General features: G+C 43.4%; 1 protein-coding gene and 1 long non-coding RNA gene across 6 annotated transcripts in view; one reads left to right on the top strand and one right to left on the bottom strand.

The window, feature by feature from the left end:
- Window positions 1–20021, top strand: part of AFAP1L1 (actin filament associated protein 1 like 1) — a 71779-nt gene extending 51758 nt beyond the window's left edge. For 4 of the 5 annotated variants that reach the window (XM_047416723.1, NM_152406.4, NM_001323062.2 and 1 more), the window contains 4 exons: window positions 6050–6214; window positions 9079–9257; window positions 11978–12106; window positions 16391–20021. In XM_047416723.1, coding sequence (XP_047272679.1) covers window positions 6050–6214; window positions 9079–9257; window positions 11978–12106; window positions 16391–16414 — 497 coding nt within the window. In that variant the 3' untranslated portion in view covers window positions 16415–20021. The remainder of the gene's footprint in view (window positions 1–6049; window positions 6215–9078; window positions 9258–11977; window positions 12107–16390) is intronic. The other variant, NM_001146337.3, reaches the window with a different exon arrangement.
- Window positions 605–6526, bottom strand: LOC124901103 (uncharacterized). Its single transcript, XR_007058989.1, has 2 exons — window positions 6313–6526; window positions 605–1298 (listed from the first exon to the last, which is right to left on the bottom strand). It is a non-coding gene; the product is annotated as an uncharacterized LOC124901103 (long non-coding RNA).
- Window positions 20022–20984: the final 963 nt, after the last annotated feature.

Below are 20984 nucleotides of genomic sequence, written 5' to 3' on the forward strand. Positions count from 1 at the left end.
TTATAGCTCCATTTCATTTGTATAGATCATCCCTTCTGAGGGTCAGGAAATCTGTATTCCATTCCTCATTCCTCCCTTGACTACTGAATTACTGTGTACCTCTGGGAAAAGTCCTTTCCCCTCTCTGGGCCTGAGTTTCCTCTCTGAACAATCAGAAGGTTGTTGTGTAACTTTGCACTCTACTCTCAGAGGCACTGGAAATGCAGGGCCTTGTGAAATGCCCATTTTAAAATGGAAATCTAAACTGAAAAAAGCATGTAAGATTAAAGAAATCACCGAATGTCAACGACAACAACAAAAAACTAACAAACACACACAAAAAAGCAGACCCTTTCTTCAAATCAAATCTTATATGAAAGCCCAGTTTATAAAAGAAAAATAAAAGTGGAGCTACTCTGGTTGAGGCCCACTTGGCCTCCACTTTTCCTGTTAGCCATCACTGTGGGGTCATAAGCTTCCTTGAAGGGCAGTGGGAAACCACAGTGGAAAACTACTGATGAATTCCAACAAGGTTGTTTTTTAGATGAAGAAACTGAAGAAAATAAAAGGGAAGATATCTTAGTCCATTTCTCCTGCTATAACAAAATCCCATAAGCTGGGGAACTTATAAATAACAGAAATTTATTTCTCATTGTTCTGGAGGCTGGGAAGTCTGAGATCAAGGTGGCAGCCAATTTGGTGTCTGGTGAGGGCCTGTTTCCTGGTGATGACCATCTTTTTGCTCCCTGGGGTCTCTTTCCTAAGGGCACTAATCCTACCCATGAGGGCTCCACCCTCGTGACCTAATCACCTACCAAAGGCCCCACCTCCAAGTGCCATCTCGAAGGGGATTAGGTTTCAACATATGAATTTTGGGGGATGTAAACATCTAGTCTATAGCCAAAGGATTTTGCCCACGATCATGTATTAATTGCCTATTGCTACATAAGAAATTACCCAAAATTTAGCTCCTCTAAACAATAAGCAGGAACATGTGTTATGTCACACGGTTTCTGTGGGTCAAGAATCTCCAAATGGCTTGGATAGATAGTTCTGGCTTGGGGTCTCTCATGAGATCTCAAGACGTTGGCCGGTCATCTGAAGTCACCTAAAGGCTTGACAGGCTGAAGGATCCACTTCTAAGATGGCTCACTGCATGCCTGGCAAGTTTGTGCTGGTTGTTGGAAGGAGGCCTCAGTTCTTTGCCATGGGGATTTCTTCATAGAGTTGCTTATCCTTGTGATGTGACAGCTGGCTTCCCCCAGAGCAAGCAACCCAAGAAGGAACAGCAAGGCTGATGCTGCAAGGTCTTTTATGACCTATGGTTAGAAGTTACACTCTGTCATTCTCCAATATCCTAATGGTTACACAGGTCAGCACTGTTTAGTGTGGGAGGGGACTATAAAAGGGCATGAATATCAGGAAGCAAGAATCATGGAGGCCAAGTAGATGATTGCTGAGAAAAATGGTGGCGTGAGAAGCTGCATGGACCCACTCCCTAGCAAAACAGCAGTAGCTGGTGAAATTTATTAAAACAAACAATTACTTAAAGTCTGGAAATTTTCCTAAGGGCAAATGAAGAAACATTTACTCTAGAAAATTTGCTAAATCTTAGTAAGAACAGTGAGAGTTTGTGGCATTTGAGCCACAACCTACCCCTTTATTCCCCAACTCAGTTTGAAAGAATCTTCACTCCAGGCATGTCTGGACAAGAAAACAGGGCTCCTTCTTCCCCCAGCTGCCAGTCAAGGGCTACAGTATCTCCCCAGGAAGGGCAGGCTGCCAGTATTTTTTGTCATACCCAGCTCCATGCTGTAGAGGCTAAATTCTAGGTGATTGCAGCCAAGAGGTAGGAAGCTCCCTTCCTCTACCCAGATGATAGAGCAAAGGCTTTGCCCCAGGTAGGGTAAGCCAAGAATACTGGGGCCCTGATTGCCCTCATCCTAGCTCACTTGTAAGGCAGAGGTTCCATGCTGGGAGAGGCAAGCAGAGTAGACCAGAGGTTACTGCCCCCACCCAGCACCCTGCTCATAACAGGAATGTCACTCCAAGAGAAACAGGCTCTTAATTTGTTTTGTGCTGCTATAACAGAATAACAGAGACTGAGTAATTTATAATGAACAGAAATTATTAGCTCCTAGTCTGGAGGCTGGAAAATCCAAGATCAAGGTGTTGACATCTAGCAAGGGCCTTCTTGCTGCATCATCACATGGCAGAAAATGGAAGGGCAAAGAGGCAAAAGGGGGTTGAATTTGCTCTCTTTTAATGGCATTAATCCCATCCATGAAGGCAAAGCCCTCATGGCCTAAATCACCTCTCAAAGTCCCATCTTTTCATACTGTTACAATTGCAGTTAAATTTCATTATGAGTTTTGGAGGGTACGAACATTCAAACCACAGCACAGGCCATTGTTCCCACCCCTGGATCCAGAGCAGTGACTCAGAGATTTTGCCGAGTGGGGAAAGGCAGGCCATAAGAACAGAGAACTCCAAAGCTCTTCCTCGAAAGAACTGACTTTAGTTGGAACAGAGTGTGGGAAAGTGTAAACCAAAGGGTGCTCTCAAAAACAATGGAGATTTGGTGGTTATGAGAACAATAAACTAAACCACAGGCTAGTTTATCAGAGAGAACCACAGAAAGAGACAGCTAAAATTGCCCTCAGCCGGGCGTGATGGCTCACCCTTGTCATCCCAACACTTTGGGAGGCTGAGGCAGGTGGATCACTTGAGGCCAGGAGTTCAAGACAAGCCTAGCCAACATGGCAAAAGCCTGTCTTTACTAAAAATACAAAAATTAGCCAGGCATGGTGGCGGGCACCTGTAATCCCAGCTACTCGGGAGGCTGAGGCACAAGAATCGCTTGAACCCAAGAGGCAGAGGTTGCAGTGAGCCCTGATGGTGCCACTGCACTCCAGCCTGGGCGACAGAGTGAGACCCTGTCGCCAAAAATAAAAAAAAAAAAAAAAAGAAAGAAAAATATATATATATTTAAAAAGAAATTTTTTAAAATAAAAAGAGCCCTCCTAGGGTTAGAACAAATCTCAAAGATGGGCCTCCAGAACTATCCTGTAAAGGGGCTGAATTTAATTGGATCAGGCTGTGGAGTAATTGATGCATTGTCAAAATCAATAGAGCAAACACCTGACAATTAGTAGAGCTGGGTGTAATAGCAACAGAGGCCGACTGCTTAACAGGAGATTAGGAAAAGAGTCAGAAATCCCTGCTAATACGCTGTCACCCCAGAGTGACTGTACACATGCCAAGGCTATGGCCTCTGAGGAGCAACATCAGTGGCTTCATACTTCAAGAGGAAGTAGACTACAATAAAATAGTTCAGACAAGTCACTAAACAAATAAGAAAATAACAACCCAACAACCCGGTTGGGGGGATGCATATCAAAAGATACTACAATATATTCTCGAAAATGACCAGTTTTCAACAAAAATTTATGACACACATGAAGAAGCAGGAAAATGTGACCCATACAGAAGGAAAAAAATCAAGCAACAGAAACTGCCTGAGAGAGGGCCCAAATGTAGAATTTAACAAAGATTTCAAAGCAGCCATTATAAATATATTTAAAGAACTTAAGGAAACCATGCTTAAAGAAATAAAGGAACAGAAGATGACAGTGTATTAACAGATAGTCTGTATTATTGATAGCCTATATTATTGGTAGTCTCTATCAATATATTATTGATAATAGCTCATTCCTCCTGCTATAACAAACTTCCATAAGCTGGGTAACTTATAAACAACAGAAATGTATTTCTCATTGTTCTAGAGAAATTGGCTTCATACTGCAGGAGGAAATAGACTATACTGAGTACTACACTACACTAGACTGTACACTACAGTATACGTATATGGAACTACACTACAGTTATATGGAATATAGCTATATGCTTACTATATTATACTATACTATATAGTATAGTCATATGGAATATATTATTGATAATATATTGATGGGGCCTCCAATAGAAAGATAGAAATTATAAAAAGAAGAACCAAATAAAAATCATGAGGCTGAAAAGTACAATAACTGAAACGAAAAACTCACTCAATGGGCACAACAGTAAATTTGGCCTGGTAGAAGAATCAGTGAACTTGATGACAGAAAAATAGAGATTATGCAAACCAAGAACAAAGAGAAAAAAAGAATGAAGAAAAATGACAGAGCCTCAGAGGATTGTGGAACACCATTAAGTGCACAAACATATGTGTAGAGGGAGTACTAGAAGGAGAAGAGAGAGAGAGACAGACAGATGAGCATAAAAAATATTCAAATAATGGCTGAAACTTGCCAAATTTATTGAAAAACATTAATCTATACATCCACGAAGCTCAGTGAAATCCAAGTAAGATAAAGGCAAGGAGATCTACAAAAGAGACATCATGGTAAAAATGCTAATACCAAAGACAAGGAAAAAATCTTGAAGGCAGAAGAGAAAATCAGGTCATCATGTATAAGAGAACCCCAGTAACATTAACAGCTGACTTCTCATCAGTAACAATGAAAGCCAGAAGGCCCTCCATGCTGTATTTATGATCAGGCTTGAACTGCAGGTAGTTGTGTCAGGAACAGATTTTTGCATGGGTCACTGGGTGACCACTGCAATCCCTGCAGCAGCTGGCTAGACAAGACCCCCAATTATCCATAAACTGCAGGAATTATTCTGCACCGACTTATATAAAGCTGTGTGCGCCTCTGTATAGCGCACAAAAAAAAAAGTAAAACTTTCCCTAAGAGGTTGAACTATGGCCTTGGCCCAGCTAGAGCAGTATTGCACAGCATGGACCCTGGAGTCAGAGAGACATGGAGACATGGGTTTAACCTCGGCTCTGCCACCATTAGCAGTGGGACCTAACCTCTGTGTGCCTCAGTTTCCTCAACAATAAAAGAAAATTAATTACAGTAAGTTTTGTGGGCTGGGCGCAGTGGCTCACTCCTGTAATCCCAGCACTTTGGGAGGCTGAGGCAGGCTGATCACTTGAGGTCAGGAGTTCGAGAACAGCCTGACCAACATGGCGAAACCCCATCTCTACTAAAAATACAAAAATTAGCCAGGCATGGTGGCGGGCACCTGTAGTCCCAGCTACTCTACTCGGGAGGCTGAGGCAGGAGAATCGCTTGAACCCCAGAGGTGGAGGTTGCAGTGAGCTGAGATCACGCCACTGCACTTCAGCCTGGGTGACAGAGCGAGACTCTGTCTCAAAATAAATAAAAAAAATAAGTTTCATGATGACTAAGTGGAAATGCAAGTGAATGGCTCAGCATATAGTTCCTTGTGTGTAGTAAATAATAAATAATTTTTGCCATAATTATTTGTTTTTATTGTCCATCATAGTGTTGAACCTGCAGTAGAACACCAGGTTCCTCGCTCCCCCAACCCCTTCCCCAGTAATAAAATGGACAATGCCTGACTGTAGTCCAAAGTCTAGAATCTCTGGAGATCTGAGTTACATGGAACAGTCTCCTTGACTTATAGATATCTGAAAACTGACTATAAAATATGCTCTTTTAAAACCAAAGTATGTTCTACATCACAAATTTGTTTTTTAATAATATTATCATTATTATCTAACCCTTACTATTTGCCAGGTACTATACTAAGTGCTTTTCATTAATCATCTCATTTAACCCTTACCACAACTCTATGAGGTAAATTGTATCTGTATCCTTATTTACAAATAAGGAAACTAAGGTCAAGGGGGAAAGGCACAGAAGAACACTACCAGTCACTTATGCCTAATGTCACACAACCAATGTCACACTACCAGTCACTTTTGCCTAATGTCACACAACCTTTGACCAGCTGAAGGTCAAAAATGCCCAAATCTCAGACTGTCTGTTCCAAGGCCTTGCTCCTAGTCCGTGTGCCCTGTGGCCTCCCTTTTGCTTCTTATTTCCTTAGAGGATTCACACTAAATATATCTAAGGGACTAGGTCTAAATATTTCCATTTCATAGATGGAGAAGTTGGGGCTGAAAGAGAAGCTGACACCACACAAGTACCTTTGCCAGAGGTCAGAACTGAGGGCCTTTCCCTTCCCCATATCTCTGCAGGTGCCAATCAATACAAGTATGGCAAGAACCGAGCCGAGGAGGATGCCCGGAGGTACTTGGTAGAAAAAGAGAAGCTGGAGAAAGAGAAAGAGACGATTCGGACAGAGCTGATAGCACTGAGACAGGAGAAGAGGGAACTGAAGGAAGCCATTCGGAGCAGCCCAGGTACCTATGTGGGTGTGGTCCTGAGCACCTATGGGTGGCCAGCTCATCCTTGGGTACAGTAAAGGGAGGTCTCTTGCACAAGTCACCTGGTTTCTTACCCAAGAGAAGTGGGCTTCTCCTCCCCTCCTCCTTCTCCTCCTCCTCCTCTTCTTCTCCTCTTCATCATTATCATCATCATTCCTCCCAATTAAAGAAAGTGCCATCAATTTAATAACTTGTTTTGGAGGATGAAAAAGCATCACAATAATGTATACACTTAATGTAGTAAGAAGCAACCTGATTTTAGAAATATGAAGCACAGAAGTGTGCCTTAGAATCAAGGAAATAAGAGATGTCATTTTGAACCGCACCTTCATTCATTCACAGATATATGTGAGACATTGGTCCTAGTGCAGGGAATAATGGACATGACACTTTCCCAGGATCCTCTTCTGAAACCCAGGGACCTCAGCAGGCCCTGCCTGCTTTGGGCTTCTCCACACCCTATTTTCTGCTGTGTTTCCTTTGCATTCTCTCTAACTGTAGTTTGACACACTTTAAGCCTAAGGTTTCTTCACATGCTGGAGGGAGCAGAAGTCCTGTTTCTATATAACATGTCCACAAACATGTAGCCCTATGAGAATCTGGTGGACCTATGGACGCTTTCCTAAGAAGAAACACCACAGTTCACAATGCTGCAAAAAAAAGTTCAGGAGCTCATGTGGCTGCCTGTGGAGCCTATCCATAGATTGCCTAAGACTCCATGAACCTCAGATTAAGAACTTCTGGTTTAAAGGAGAAGACTTGTTCTGTGTGGCCAAGAACCAGAATCAATAGGAGGAAGGCACAGGAAGGCAGTTTGGTTTCCATATAAAGAATTTTCTGAGAGTCAGAACCAGGATTTGGAGCAAGTTGACTCTCCTTGTCCTGCTCAATTTTTTCCCCTATGGCACTACCACTGTGTAACATATCAGATTATTTATTATATTTATTATTTATTGTTTGCCACAGACACACAAATATAAGCACCATAAGGGCAAGGATCTTTGCCTGCTTTGTTCACTGATATATCTAGGGCCAAGGACAATGCCTGATACATGGTAAGCATTTTTAAAAAAAATTTTTTTTTAATTTTTGCATTAAAATTTTTTTTTAAATTTTGCACCATGCATTAAATACATGGTGAATGGTGAATATAAAGAGTTCAACATTACTGGAAAACCCTCCGGCACAGCCTCCCTCAGGGCAAAGAATGGAACTGATTTTTAAACCTGGTAAGACCCAACACAGCACTTGGCATGAGAAAGGTACTAATATAGGTTTGTTAGATTAAATCAAAAAAGTGGGCTGGGTGCCGTGGTTCATGCCTGTAATCCTGGCACTTTGGGAAGCCGAGGCAGGAGGCCTGTTTGAGTGCAGGAGTTCGACACCAGCCTGAGCAACATAATGAGACTTCATCTCTATTTTTCTAAAAGAAAGAAAATTTTTTAAAAATTTTTAAAGAAAATTTAAAAATAAAAATAAATTGAGGCTGGGTGCGGTGGCTCACGCCTGTAATCCCAGCACTTTGGGAGGCTGAGGTGGGCAGATCACAAGGTCAGGAGATCGAGACCATCCTGGCTAACACGGTGAAACCCCGTCTCTATTAAAAATACAAAACATTAGCCGGGTGTGGCGGCGGGTGCCTGTAGTCCCAGCTACTCAGGAGGCTGAGGCAGGAGAATGGCATAAACCCAGGAGGCAGAGCTTGCAGTGAGCCAAGATCACGCCACTGCACTCCAGCCTGGGTGACAGAGCGAGACTCCGTCTCAAGAAAAAAAAAAAAAAATTGAATAAGCAGCAAATCCTACTGAAAACTCTGGTGTCTGTAAAGCCCTGCTATGACACTTGTTTACAAGTAACAGAAACCAAAGCTAAACTGGCAGAGAAATGAAAGAAGATGTAATTGGAAAATTGAGCGATCTGGTGTAGTGGGGTCCAGGGACTTAAATGATGTCACCAGGAAGCTTATTTCTCACACTCATGCTTCTACCCTTCTCTCCTTTGGTTTCATTCTTCCCTTGTGATGCCACAATGGCTGCACAGTGCCAGCCCTCCCAGCCAACCCAAGCAGAGAGAGCTTCTCCTCCCAATGACCACCGCAGAGCCCTCTGGATTCACTCTGATTGGTCCGACTTTCATCCCTAATCCAATCACTGTCACCAGAAGATGAGTTGTGATTATGGGGCAGACCTAAGTTATGTGCCAAACCCTGGAACTAGAAGTAGAGTCAGCCCCACTCAAACTAAAGAGAATGGGGGTAGTGGGGCAGGTGCAGTGGCTCATGCCTGTAATCCCAGCACTTTGGGAGGCCAAGGCTGGTGGATTACTTGAGATCAGCAGTTTGAGACTAGCCTGGCCAACATGGCAAAACCCCATCTCTACTAAAAATACAAAAATTAGCTGGGTGTGCTGGCGTGTGCCTGTAGTCCCAGCTACTTGGGAGGCTGAGGCAGGAGGATCACTTGATCCCAGGAGGCGGAGGTTGCAGTGAGCTGAGATCACCCACTGCACTCCACCCTGGGCGACAGAGCGAGACTCCGTCTCAAAAAAAAAAGACAGAATGAGAGGGGGAAGGTGGTTTCCCAACGAAAACTCAGAGTGCTATTTCCAGGAGATGGTGAAATAGGAACCAGACATATGAAGAACATAATGAGACCTCATCTCATTATGGAGCTGGAATCCTAGTATGGAGCTGGAACCCCAAACCCAGAGTCCATCTCTTAACCAAGACTGGGGGCTGGAAGGGCCCTCTAGGAGGGGCAGACAAAGGCCTGAGGCCCTGCCAGATTCCCTGACATTTCAGGTCAGGTTCAGCTTTTTCTTATCAATGTCTCTTGATTCAGGAGCAAAATTAAAGGCTCTGGAAGAAGCCGTGGCCACCCTGGAAGCTCAGTGTCGGGCAAAGGAGGAGCGCCGGATTGACCTGGAGCTGAAGCTGGTGGCTGTGAAGGAGCGCTTGCAGCAGTCCCTGGCAGGAGGGCCAGCCCTGGGGCTCTCCGTGAGCAGCAAGCCCAAGAGTGGGGTGAGTCCAGGCCCTTCCATGCCAGGGGCAGCTACTCCTATGTCCCTCCACTCACTACAGATCTCTTCTTCATGATCATTCTTTGGAGGTAGGGGTTATGCCCACTTACAGACAAGAAAACTGAAGTCCAAAGAGGTGAAGGGCATGCCATGGGTGGCACAGCTAGGAAGAGGACTCTTGGAGCAATTTCTCTTGGTTTCTGGCCTGTTCTTGTCTCCACAACAGCAGCACCATTTGACTTTTTACCCTAAAGGTGATCTTAGAAATGGCCTTGGAGTTATTGATGATAATAGTAGCCAGCATACATTGAATAACAAACATGTGTGATCCATTACTATAGGCATCTTAACCTGTATTATCTCACACAATCTTCATGGCAGTCCTATGAGGTAGTTTAGGGGTTGACAGACAAGGAAGCTAAGGTTCAGAGATGTCGAATGACTTGCTCAAGGTCACTCCATGAAGTGGGAGACGGGATTCCAAACCCAGGAAGTCTAACTCCAGAGCCCTGCTCCAGAGCCCTCCAGGGCAACATGGCAAAACCCTGTCTCTACAAAAAATACAGCGGTCTCACATGCCCTCTCCTGAGATCTCCAGGGTACCAGGCCCTGTCCTCAGGGCTCTGCATCCATTATCTCTAATTCTCCCAGCAACTCTCTGAGGAAGATACGCTCACCTCCAATGGTGCTCTCTCAGAGAGAACTTCTCTGACCTCATCTACACCAGCGCTTCTCAACCCCAACACTACTGACATTTTGGACCAGTAATTCTTTCTTATAAGGGACTATTCTGTGCACCAGCAGGATGTTAGGGATGTTAAGGTCCTACCTAAGGATATCAAGTAGGATGTTAAGCAGCATCTCTAGCTTGTACTCACTGGTTGCCAGTAGCACCTCCCTTCCAGTGACAACCAAAATATCTCCAGAAATTGCCAGATGTCCCTCGGGAGAGCAAAAAACTGACCCTGGTTGGTCTAAATTACCAACAGCTGCCTCTATTATTCTTCCTCATAGCACTTAACCACAATTTGTGTGTATGTGTGTGTGTATATATATTTGTGTCCTTGCTTGTCCAATGTCTGTCTTCTCCACTAGATTGTATTTTTGTTAAGAATTGGACTACATCCATTTGTTTATCATTACATTCCAGACCCTTTACAGAAAAATAGTAGGAGTATAAGAAATATTTGTCAAATGAATAAATGTTTTGCCTGCTTTCGGGTGAGGAAATTGAGACTCAAAGAGATGAAATAACTTGTCTGTTAAGTATGACTTGTCAGGAGGCAATGTGTCATTATTATTGTTGTCCCAGGTCACATTTCCTGGTCACACCACACCTGATTGAGCCAGTGCTGTGTCTTACATCCCTACACTTCCTTTCCATGGGGTGTTTCCAACCTCATTGTATAGATGAAAAACATGACAGCCAAGGACAAAACAACTTCCCAGAGTCACAGAGGGCTGGTGGAGGAGCTAGCACTAGTTCATTCATCCCAGCTGCTTCCTCCCACCAGCATGACCTGATATTCCCATTCCAGAGCACTTCTCCCTGGGTTTTGGATCCTTTTAACATTCTTTGGAGATAAAGAGAAGCTTTCTCTAAATTCCTTGCAGGTTTAGCTGTTAAGATGTCACCCTTAAGGAGCTACATCTAGTAAGATATTAATACTAAGCAATTATCTGGAAAAATGTAAGGGGTAAAGTTAATTTCAAAAATGAGAAGGAATACAGGAGAGAGGTTAAAAGTCAGGCTGTGGGGCCAGGCATGGTAACTCATGCCTATAATCCCAGCACTTTGGGAGGCTGAGATGGGCAGATCACTTGAGGCCAGGAGTTCGAAACCAGCCTGGCCAACATGGTGAAACCCCATCTCTACTAAAAACGCAAAAATTAATTGGGCATGGTGGCACATGCCTGTCCCAGCTACTCCGGAGGCTGAGGCAAGAGAATCACTTGAACCTGGAAGGTGGACCTCCAGCCTTGGCAAGAGAGCAAGACTCTGTCTTACAAAAAAAAAAGAAAGAAAGGAAAGAAAGAAAGAAAGGGCTATGGGATTGGAATCCTGGTTCTCCCACTCACTAGCCACATGACCTTGCACAGTAATTTGACCTTCCCCATTTCCTCACCTATAAAATGGAATGACTAATAATAGTACCTACTTCATAGGCTTGTTGAAAAGCTAAAGGAGCTAATTCACACAATGCTTTGTACGTAGTGAGGTTCAGTAATTTTAGTTGTCATTATCGTTATCTGAAGGTCCTCAAGTATCTTCTCTCACCTTGTTCAATGCTGTCATGTTTGCCAGGTGCCTTTTATTTTAAAGTTCCTCATGCAGCCAGGCACAGTAGCTCACACCTGTAATCCCAGCACTTTGGGAGGCCAAGGTGGGTGGATTGCTTCAGCCCAGGAGTTTGAGACCAGCCTGGGCAACTTAGTGAAACCCCATCTCTACTAAAAATACAAAAATTAGCCAGGCCTGGTGGTACACACCTGTAATCCCAGCTACTCGAGAGGCTGAGGTATAAGAATCGCTTGAACCCAGGAGGCAGAGGTTGCAGTGAGCCAAGCTCGTGCCACTGCGCTCCCGCCTGGGTGACAGAGACTCTGTCTCAAAAATAAAAATAAAAATAATAAAGTGTCCTCATGCTTTTGAGGGCAGGCTGGGTGTGTAGGTAGCCATCACCAGATCTCACCTATATAATTATTTATTGCCATCAACAGGAAACTGCAAATAAACCCCAGAACAGCGTTCCAGAGCAACCTCTCCCTGTCAACTGTGTTTCTGAGCTGAGGAAGAGGAGCCCATCCATCGTAGCCTCCAACCAAGGAAGGGTGCTACAGAAAGCCAAGGTAGAGCCATAGTTCTGCTCCTCAAAAATCAGAGATCTGGTAGCCCCCTTTCTATGGAACTTCACCCAAAACCAAAAAATCAACTAGTGAGAAAGGTAGAGAATTGCCAATGCATTTATACAATGAAACTCATGAACCTTCCTCAGAAGGGGTAATCCTCAGATCTTATTCAGAACCTATTCACTCTTTGTTAACACATATTTCTAACAAGCTTAATCATCTGGTTTCTGAGCCTACAATGTGTTTTCAGACAGGACAGGTTCCATTTCATTGATGAGGTAACTGAAAATCGAGGACGATGGGACTTGCCCAGGGCTATGCAAGGTATCACTGCAAAAGCAAAGAAGCAAACCCACCTCTTCCAATTCTAAGTCCATGGCTCCCTCCAGGATGCTGGTCCACAGTCCCTTCTGTGTGACTCTTGGGGGTCAGCTGTGTTTCAGAACTTTTTGGATTTTATAAAGGTAATATGGTACCTACACTAACACATGATGAAAACCTCAATATGTCCTCAGGTGGTACCATGTAAGCAAACATGTTAATAATTCTACGGCAAGACATAGGAATATATATAGCACATGGAGTGAATAAAGATTATAAACAGTCATATCAGGTCAGGTCAAGTTTTGCCACCAAATGAGTCTATACCAAAACAATGGAGAAATATTTTGGTTTCACAGCTTTCTGGATTTCAGAATTGCAGATAAAAGTGTGGACCTGTCCTGGTCCATTTTTTGCTGCTTATAACAGAATACCTGAACCTGGATCATTTATAAAGAAACAGAATGTATTTCTTAAGAGTTTGGGAGGCCGAGAAGTCTCAGGTTGACGGGCCATATCTGGCAAGGGCCTTCTTGCTGATGGGGTCTCTCTGCAGTCTGGAGGCGGCCCAGGGCATCACAGGGTGAGGGGGCTGAACATGTTAGCTCAGGTCTCTCTTCCTCTTTTTATAAAGCCACCAGTTCCACTCCCATGATAACCCATTAATGCATTAACTCATTAATGCCTTTATCCATGAACGGATTAATCCATATTCATGAAGATAGAGCCCTCATGACCCAATCACCTCTTAAAGGCTGCACCTCTCAATACTGCCACATTAGGGATTAAATTTCAACATCAGTTTTGGAGGGACAGACATTCCAATCATAGCAGGACCTGAAAAACAAATGCCAGGCACATCAGATATGCTCAGGAAGCCTTTCTAGACCTGTCTGGCAGCAGCACAGAATGTCTGAAAAACTGGTAGGAGATGAGACTGGAAAGACAGTTTGATATAGAAGGACCTAAATTCCAAGCTAAGAAATGTGGAGACTGATGAGTTTTCAAGGAACAATCTCTTTTTTAAATATGAAAATATAAAATTAATCTTTATTAATTTAAAATAAAAGGGGGAGAATGGAATGGTGGTTGCCAGAGGCTGAGGGCTGGGGGAACTGGGGAGATGTTGGTCAAAGGATACAAAGTTTCAGTTTTAAGAAGACTAAGTTCTGGGGATCTAATGTACAGAATCATGGCTACAGTTAACAATACCATATTGCATACTCGAAATTTGTTTTAAAAAGTCACTTTTTACTGTTCTCACCACACACACACACACAAATGATAACTAGGTGAGGTGAGATGTGTTAACTAAACTTGACTGTGATAATCATTTCACAATATGTCAAATCAAAAAAATAGTTCAAATTAGAAACATAATAAAAGGGGGAACACCCTATTTAAAGTAGTGGAAAACTCCAATTTCGTTCATTCAAGAAACACATATTAAGCACCTGCTAAATGCTTGACACTTCACTAAACACTCTTGAACATGTTCCTTCATTCCATCTTTGCAATAACCAAGTAAAGTGGGCATTCTTAGCCCCATTTCACAGCGGAGAAGACTGAAGTTTAAGTGGTAGATAAACCAGTGAACAAGACAGATGAGGTCCTGGTTTTCAAGGAACTTCCAAGCCAGTGAAAGGAGACAGATAATACATAAGTGCCCTGTTAATGTAAGAAGATAATTCCAGAAAGTGATACAACTACAAATATATACATATATATATACATATATATAGAAAGGGACAGAGACTGGGAGTAGGGTTGGAGCAATATACACAGTGGTCAGAGAGGGCCTCTCCTAGCAGTGACCCAAATGATGGGAAAGGAACATGAGAAGATCTAGAGCAGAAGCTTTCCAGCAAGAGGGGACAGCAGGTGCAAAAGCTCTCAAGCGTGCCTGATGGCCAGATGGAGGCCAGAGCAGCTGGAGCAAAGAGGGAAAGCGAGCGTGGAAACCATGAAGGGGGAAGAGGCAGGCAGTGCCTGATCATTTATGAGCTGAAATTGCATATCATATTAGAATACATTTAAAGGACAGCTGTTTATTAGCTTCATATCAACACTGCTGTGGGAATCGGCAACATTTTGTCTAGGATCACACCAGCACGGACTTTTAAAATGCATGGCTTGGCCAGGCACAGTGGCTCACACCTGTAATCCTAGCACTTTGGGTGGCTGAGGTGGGAGGATCCTTGAACCCAGGAGTTCGAGATCAGCCTGGGCAACATGGCGAAACCCTGTGTCTACAAAAACTACAAAAAAATTAGCCGGGTGTGGTGGCACATGCCTATAGTCCCAGCTACTCCATAGGCTGAGGTGGGAGGATCACTTGAGCCCAGTGGGAGGGGTGAGGCTACAGTGAGCCCTGATCACACCACTGCACTCCAGCCTAGATGACACTAAGTGAGACCCTGTCTCAAAAAAAGCATGGCTCTATGTCTAGGCTGGAGCTGCATCCTCAGGTTGGAATTGAATTTCAGAGCCTAAGAGGGAAGAGTCTTTATTCTTTCCTACAGTTAGTCATTAAACAAATATTTGTTGAAGACCTACCATATGCCAGTCTTGTTCTAGTTTCTGGTTACATAACAGGGAACCCAAAAAAGTCCCTGGTCTCATAGAGTTGGGAAGACAAGACTTTAAATACCACACATAAATAAAGAATGTGATGCCAGAGAAGATGAACGTCCCAAAGGGGCTTAAGCACAGTGATAGCAAAGACCCTTTCAAGAAGGTGACACATAGGCAGAGACCTGAATGGAGTGTGAGGGAGAAACCCATGCAGGGGGCTGAGGGAAGGACGAACCAGGCAGAGAGAAGAGCAAGTGTCAAGTCCCTGAAGTGGGAAAAAGCTTGGCATGTTTGAGGAACATCAAGAAGATCCAGGTGATTCCAGTGAAAGGAACAAAGAGTGAGCATTAGGAGATGAGATCAGAGAAGTAACCAGTGAGGGGCCAGATCATCTAGAGCAGCAGTCAGCAAACTTTTTCTGTAAAGGGCCAGAGAGTAAATAGTTTAGGCTTTCTGAACCATATGATCTGTTCCACAGCCTCTCAACTCTGCCATTGTCGCATGAAAATAGCCATGGACAATATGAAAATGATGATGAAAATGGCTGTGTCCCAATAAAGCTTTTTTTTTTTTTTTTTTTTGAGACGGAGTCTCGCTCTGTCACCCAGGCTGGAGTGCAGTGGTATGATCTTGGCTCACTGCAACCACTGCAACCTCCACCTCCCAGGTTCAAGCAATTCTCCTGCCTTAGCCTCCTGTGTAGCTGGGATTACAGGTGCACAACACCACACTCGGCTAATTTTTTTGTATTTTTAGTAGAGACGGGGGGTTTCACCATGTTGGTCAGGTTGGTCTCGAACTCCTGACCTCGTGATCCGCCCACCTCGGCCTCCCAAAGTGCTGGGATTACAGGCATGAGCCACGGCACCTAGCCCAATAAAACTTATTTACAGGCACTGAAATTTGAATTTCGTATCATTTTCATGTGTCATGAGATAGTCGTCTTCTTTTGATTTTTTTTTCCAAACATTTAGAAATAGGAGCTGATGGATTATATGAGAATGGACAATAGGCCAGACTTGGCCCACAGACTATCATTTACCAGCCTTTCATCTAAAGCCTTTCAGGCCACTGAGGAACCATGGATCTTGTTCTAACATAATGGATCTTGTTGTGACATGATGGAAGGTTTTGAGCAAAGGGTTTTGGATATAAATTACATTTTTTAAAGACCATTCAGGCAACTATGTTGAGAATGGATGAAGGGACAAGAGATACCAGCATGGAGAAGTGACTTACTCAGGGCCACAGAAAGAGAGAGAGGGGGTTAGAACCCAACGCAACCTGGCTAGTGGAGATCTTCATCTAACTAGGTGCCGTGAAATCTCTTTATCCATGTCACACTAGACCATTCAGCAAATTGATTTGTCTTCTCTTTCTGTGCTTCAGGAATGGGAAATGAAGAAGACCTAGGAAGAGGATGAGGATTTCATTCCAAAGGAAATACCAGCTTGTCCACCTGAGGAAGAAATGCTTTTTTCACAAGGAGACACCAAGAGAAGACTAGGAAGTAGCCCTCGTTCTCCAGGGCACCCAAAATACCAGCCTTTATTGTCTGCATGATTTTAGGGGATATGGGGAGGGAACAAGTAGAAGGGAAGAGGGAAATGGAGAGCATCCTTATGACTTTACAAAGGGTGGAAATGAGGATGGAGGGATACAGAAGTCTGCACAGCTGTAAAGGTTTTATAGATGTCTTTGCCTTCCCTTCTGAGGAAGGGAAGAAGTAATGAAAGCACATGTGAATAACCCCTTCCATCCCATTCACAGCATCGCACTCCCAGTCCTTAAGGCAAAGGGAGGCAGTGCTGAAGCATTGGTGGTGCAGTGTAAAGAGACAAGACCTGATCATCTGATCACACTTGTGCCAACTTGATTCATATTGGGCATTACTAACAACCCCTGGTCAAGGTAAATAGGTTGAACAATCAATAACATTATCCCTGCCTGCATACATGTGAACAAAAGCTATAGAGGACATGCAAATTCTACAGTCATTCCTCATATGCTTTAGACAGAGTGCAGCTACTGGAATCTTCCAGATTTCAGTGTTTTAAAATCAGAGCTCTGAATACACAAAAGGAAAGAGAAATGGAGCAGCTGACATATTTTAAGCTCACAGTGATACTCAGTGACAGGAGCACAGAGCTCTAATGTCCACAGGATGTTGTAGGGTAGGGTCTCTCAGTAAATCAAGTCCCTTACCTATGTTCTGACACTGAGGCTCTTGGAGCTATGGGTTAGAAATCCAGGAGGCAATATGTCTTTATTCTAATGAAGTCCTCATCTTGCACTCAGAGGCCCACTAGTTTGCCCTTCTATATATTAAGTAAAACCAAGAGAAATTAAGAGGATGATGGCTTCTTTCTGTCACATGGGTGCTAAACCTTTTACAAACACTTGATACTTCTATAGAGGGACCAAGGACCTCAAGTCCTGGGCAGTCTCCTTACTGTGCTACTCACTACTGTCTCAACACTGTAGTGAGTCTGTCTTTAACACATTTCCTTCCAATAAAGATAAAACCACTTAACTCTTAAGTGCCAGTGCTTAGCTCAAGAGGAAAGAAGGAAAATCCCAGAATAACCGTGGCCACTTTGCTATAGGGGTTACATATTTTAACCCACCTAAGGTTTTACAGACTTTAGCCTCACTCAAACTTTATCACCCTCTGAGGTAGCTGGAGACCACAGCAGGAAAAATAACCTGACCAGTAATCACCCACTGATTAGTGGCAGAGCGTAGGACTTAGGGGTTATAAGCCCAGATCCAGATAGGGCTAGGTTTGAGCCATGCCTCTAATGACCAGCTGGGTGACCTTGGGAAAGTCACTTGATTGCTCTGATTCTTGTTTTCCTTATCTGTGAAATGGGACTAACAATTGTTACTTTTCTCCCAAGATTGTTGGGAAGATTTAATAAGATAATATATAGTAGGCATCTTGCATAGTGTCTGAGAAATAAGAAATGCTCAGTCAATAGTGGCTCTCATTAGCCAGGCATGGTGGTACTCGCCTGTAGTCCCAGCTACTCAGGAGGCTGAGGCAGGAGGACCGCTTGAGCCCAGGAGTTTGAGACTGTAGTGCACTATGATCACGCCTGTGAATTGCCACTGCACTCCAGCCTAAGCAAATAGCAAGACCCCATCTATTAAAAAAAAAAAGTGGCTATTATTAGCTATATCAGAAATGTCTGACTCACAAGCCTGTGTTCTTTCCACTGAAGAGGAAATTACTTTTCAGTGTTCTTTTTTAAAACGTGGATCCTGAAATGTCACCTAACTCTCCAACTATGTCTTCAGTGTCTGTCATACTCTTTCTTATGCAGTTATTTTGGGGTTAAGTGTCTTTTCTCACCAACAGATGAACTCTCAGAGGAGTGGCTGGGGGTAATTAATAATTAACATTTATCAAGCACTCACCATATGTCAGGCACTGTGTCAGCCATGGCCAGCTTCACAGGCATGCAACCTGTGCAGTCACACAGGGCCCCATGCTTAGAAGGGCCCTGTTCTTGGTTTAATGCTCTACTATTGCCTTCTTAATCATATTTGAACAAGGAGTTCTGCTTTTCCTTTTGCCCTTTAAATTAGATAGCCAGTCCTGGTGCTAACTAACCACTTTTCTAGGTATTATCCCTTTAGTTTTCACTGAAACCCTGAGATAAGTTATATTGCCCTAGTTTTCACAGTTCAGGAAATGGAAGCTCACAGAGGTCAGGTAACTTGTCCAAGCTCCCATAGTTCTTATATTTACATGCTGGTGGAGCCAGCATGTGAATATAAGAAGTCTGACCCTAGAGCCTTATTCTTAATTTTAAAGCTCTATGTCATCCATATATCTCCCTCCCCTTGTACTGCAACATTCAGAAGCACACTAGCACTTAATAAATAGACGAATGAATGCATGGATGCAAGCAGCAACCTGGTGAACGTTAGGCAGCTAGGAGAAATGTAAGCAAAATGGCTAAGGCACAGATGCCACTTGTTCTTGGTTGTTAAAATGCCTTGTTTAGGCCAGGTATGGTGGCTCATGCCTGTAATCCCAGCACTTTGGGAGGCCGAAGCGGGTGGATCACTTGAGGTCAGGAGTTCAAGACCAGCCTGGCCAACATGGCAAAACCCCATCTCTATCAAAAATACAAAAGTTAGCTGGGCACGGTGGCACATGCCGGTAGTCCCAGCTACTTGGGAGGCTGAGGGAGGAGAATCACTTGAACCCGGGAGGTGGAGGTTGCAGTGAGCCGAGATCGCACCACTGCACTCCAGCCTGGGCAATAGCAAGACTCCATCTCAAAAAAAAAAAAATGCCTTATTTGGTTGTGTTTTTTCAAAGTGTAAGCCACAGGTCTAAGCCCAACACTGCCAAGTGTTCAGTCTGTCAGAATTCTACTGTCACTGTTTCCTTATTGCGGGATCTTGCATAGGTTTACCAACCTTTCTGAGCCTCAATTTTCTCATATGTAAAAGAGAATCATAATACCTCCCTAAACCATATCACCCTTTTCATAAGGCCAAAAAGAAAATATAAGTTATTGGTCATGACACATTTGAGTTGGACCTCGGATTAGATAAAAAGATGAAAATACTCCAGCTCTGTCCTCATGGAACTCAGAGACAAGCAGGAAAGAAAATGTGACCCAAATAACTACAGTACAAATAACCCATGTTATGACAAGATTCAGAGTGCTCAAGGAACACTTCCCATTCCCTTAAAAAAAAAAATTAAGGGACTATCCAGTAACTAAGCTGGCAACTCCAAGTGCCCTGGACCCCAGTCACCAATCCATCCTCTCAGTCTGTCAGCTTTCCATCCTAAATCTCTAAAATTCATCCATATCTTCCTATCTTCACTGACACTATCCAACTTAATTAAGTCATTCAACAAATACTTGAGTACCTACTATACTAGATGTCAGAAATCAGTGGTGAACAAGACAGACACCTCATGAAGCTCACATTCTAGTTGGAGGAAAAAACCTTAACAAGGAAGCAAAAGAAATAAAATACTAAGAAACTAAAAGGGTGCTGGACACAGTTACTTTACAGTGGTTAGGAAGGTCTCTCTCTGTTCTTCCAGGACAGAATATAGCCCCATCTTGCCTGGGCTACTGCAACATATTGCCTTCCCTACCTCTTTTCTTACACCTTGCAATCTGCTTCACACAGCAGTCAAAGTGACTCTTTAAACATGAAAGCCTTTGTCACATGTTCCCTGTCAATCTAAAATAATTTAAAAGGTCAGAATCTAGTTTAAAGAGAGTTTATTCAAGCACAAAGGTTGAGGATGGCCTGCCCAGGAAGCACAGAATGGAAAAATATGTCTGTCTTAAAAAAGATGGAAGTCAGTGTTCCAAAGTGTGAAAGGTTGGGTTCAGTGAGGTTTAACAGAATTTCAACATCTTTCTATGCAAGGCTTAATGCACAGTTACAATGATCTGAGTAGTTAAGGTGGTCTTTTTCCTTCAAGAAAGGTACATTTAACATCACATCCTGCAGATGTAACTGTCATGGGGTCAGTTCAGTTCAGGGCACCATCTAGTCTGAGTTAGGTGCAGGACAATAAAGGAGGCTGTCTATTACAAACATCAGTAATTGAGAGGGAAGAAATCTGGTCTCTGCTCTTTCCTAGTCATTACAGAACAAGAACAATGAGGAAGAGAATTAAGCTATAATTCTAAGAAGCAGAACTACAAAACATGCTACATGGACTCAGACCACAGCCACATCTCTCTCAAAGCTTCAAGTATTTGGGAGGTTCCAACAGCTTTTAGGTTTTATTTATTTTCACATTCCATTGCAATCAGAATCAGACTAAATTGCATTCAGCAAAAAAGTTTTTTGAAGCCGGGGGCGGTGGCTCATGCCTGTAATCCCAGCACTTTGGAAGGCTGAGGAAGGCAGATCACCTGAGGTCAGGAGTTCAAGCCCAGCCTAACCAACATGGTGAAACCCTGTCTCTACTAAAAATACAAAAATTAGCCGG

This window comes from Homo sapiens, chromosome 5 (assembly GCF_000001405.40).
Source record: "Homo sapiens chromosome 5, GRCh38.p14 Primary Assembly".
NCBI classification, from domain to species: domain Eukaryota; kingdom Metazoa; phylum Chordata; class Mammalia; order Primates; family Hominidae; genus Homo; species Homo sapiens.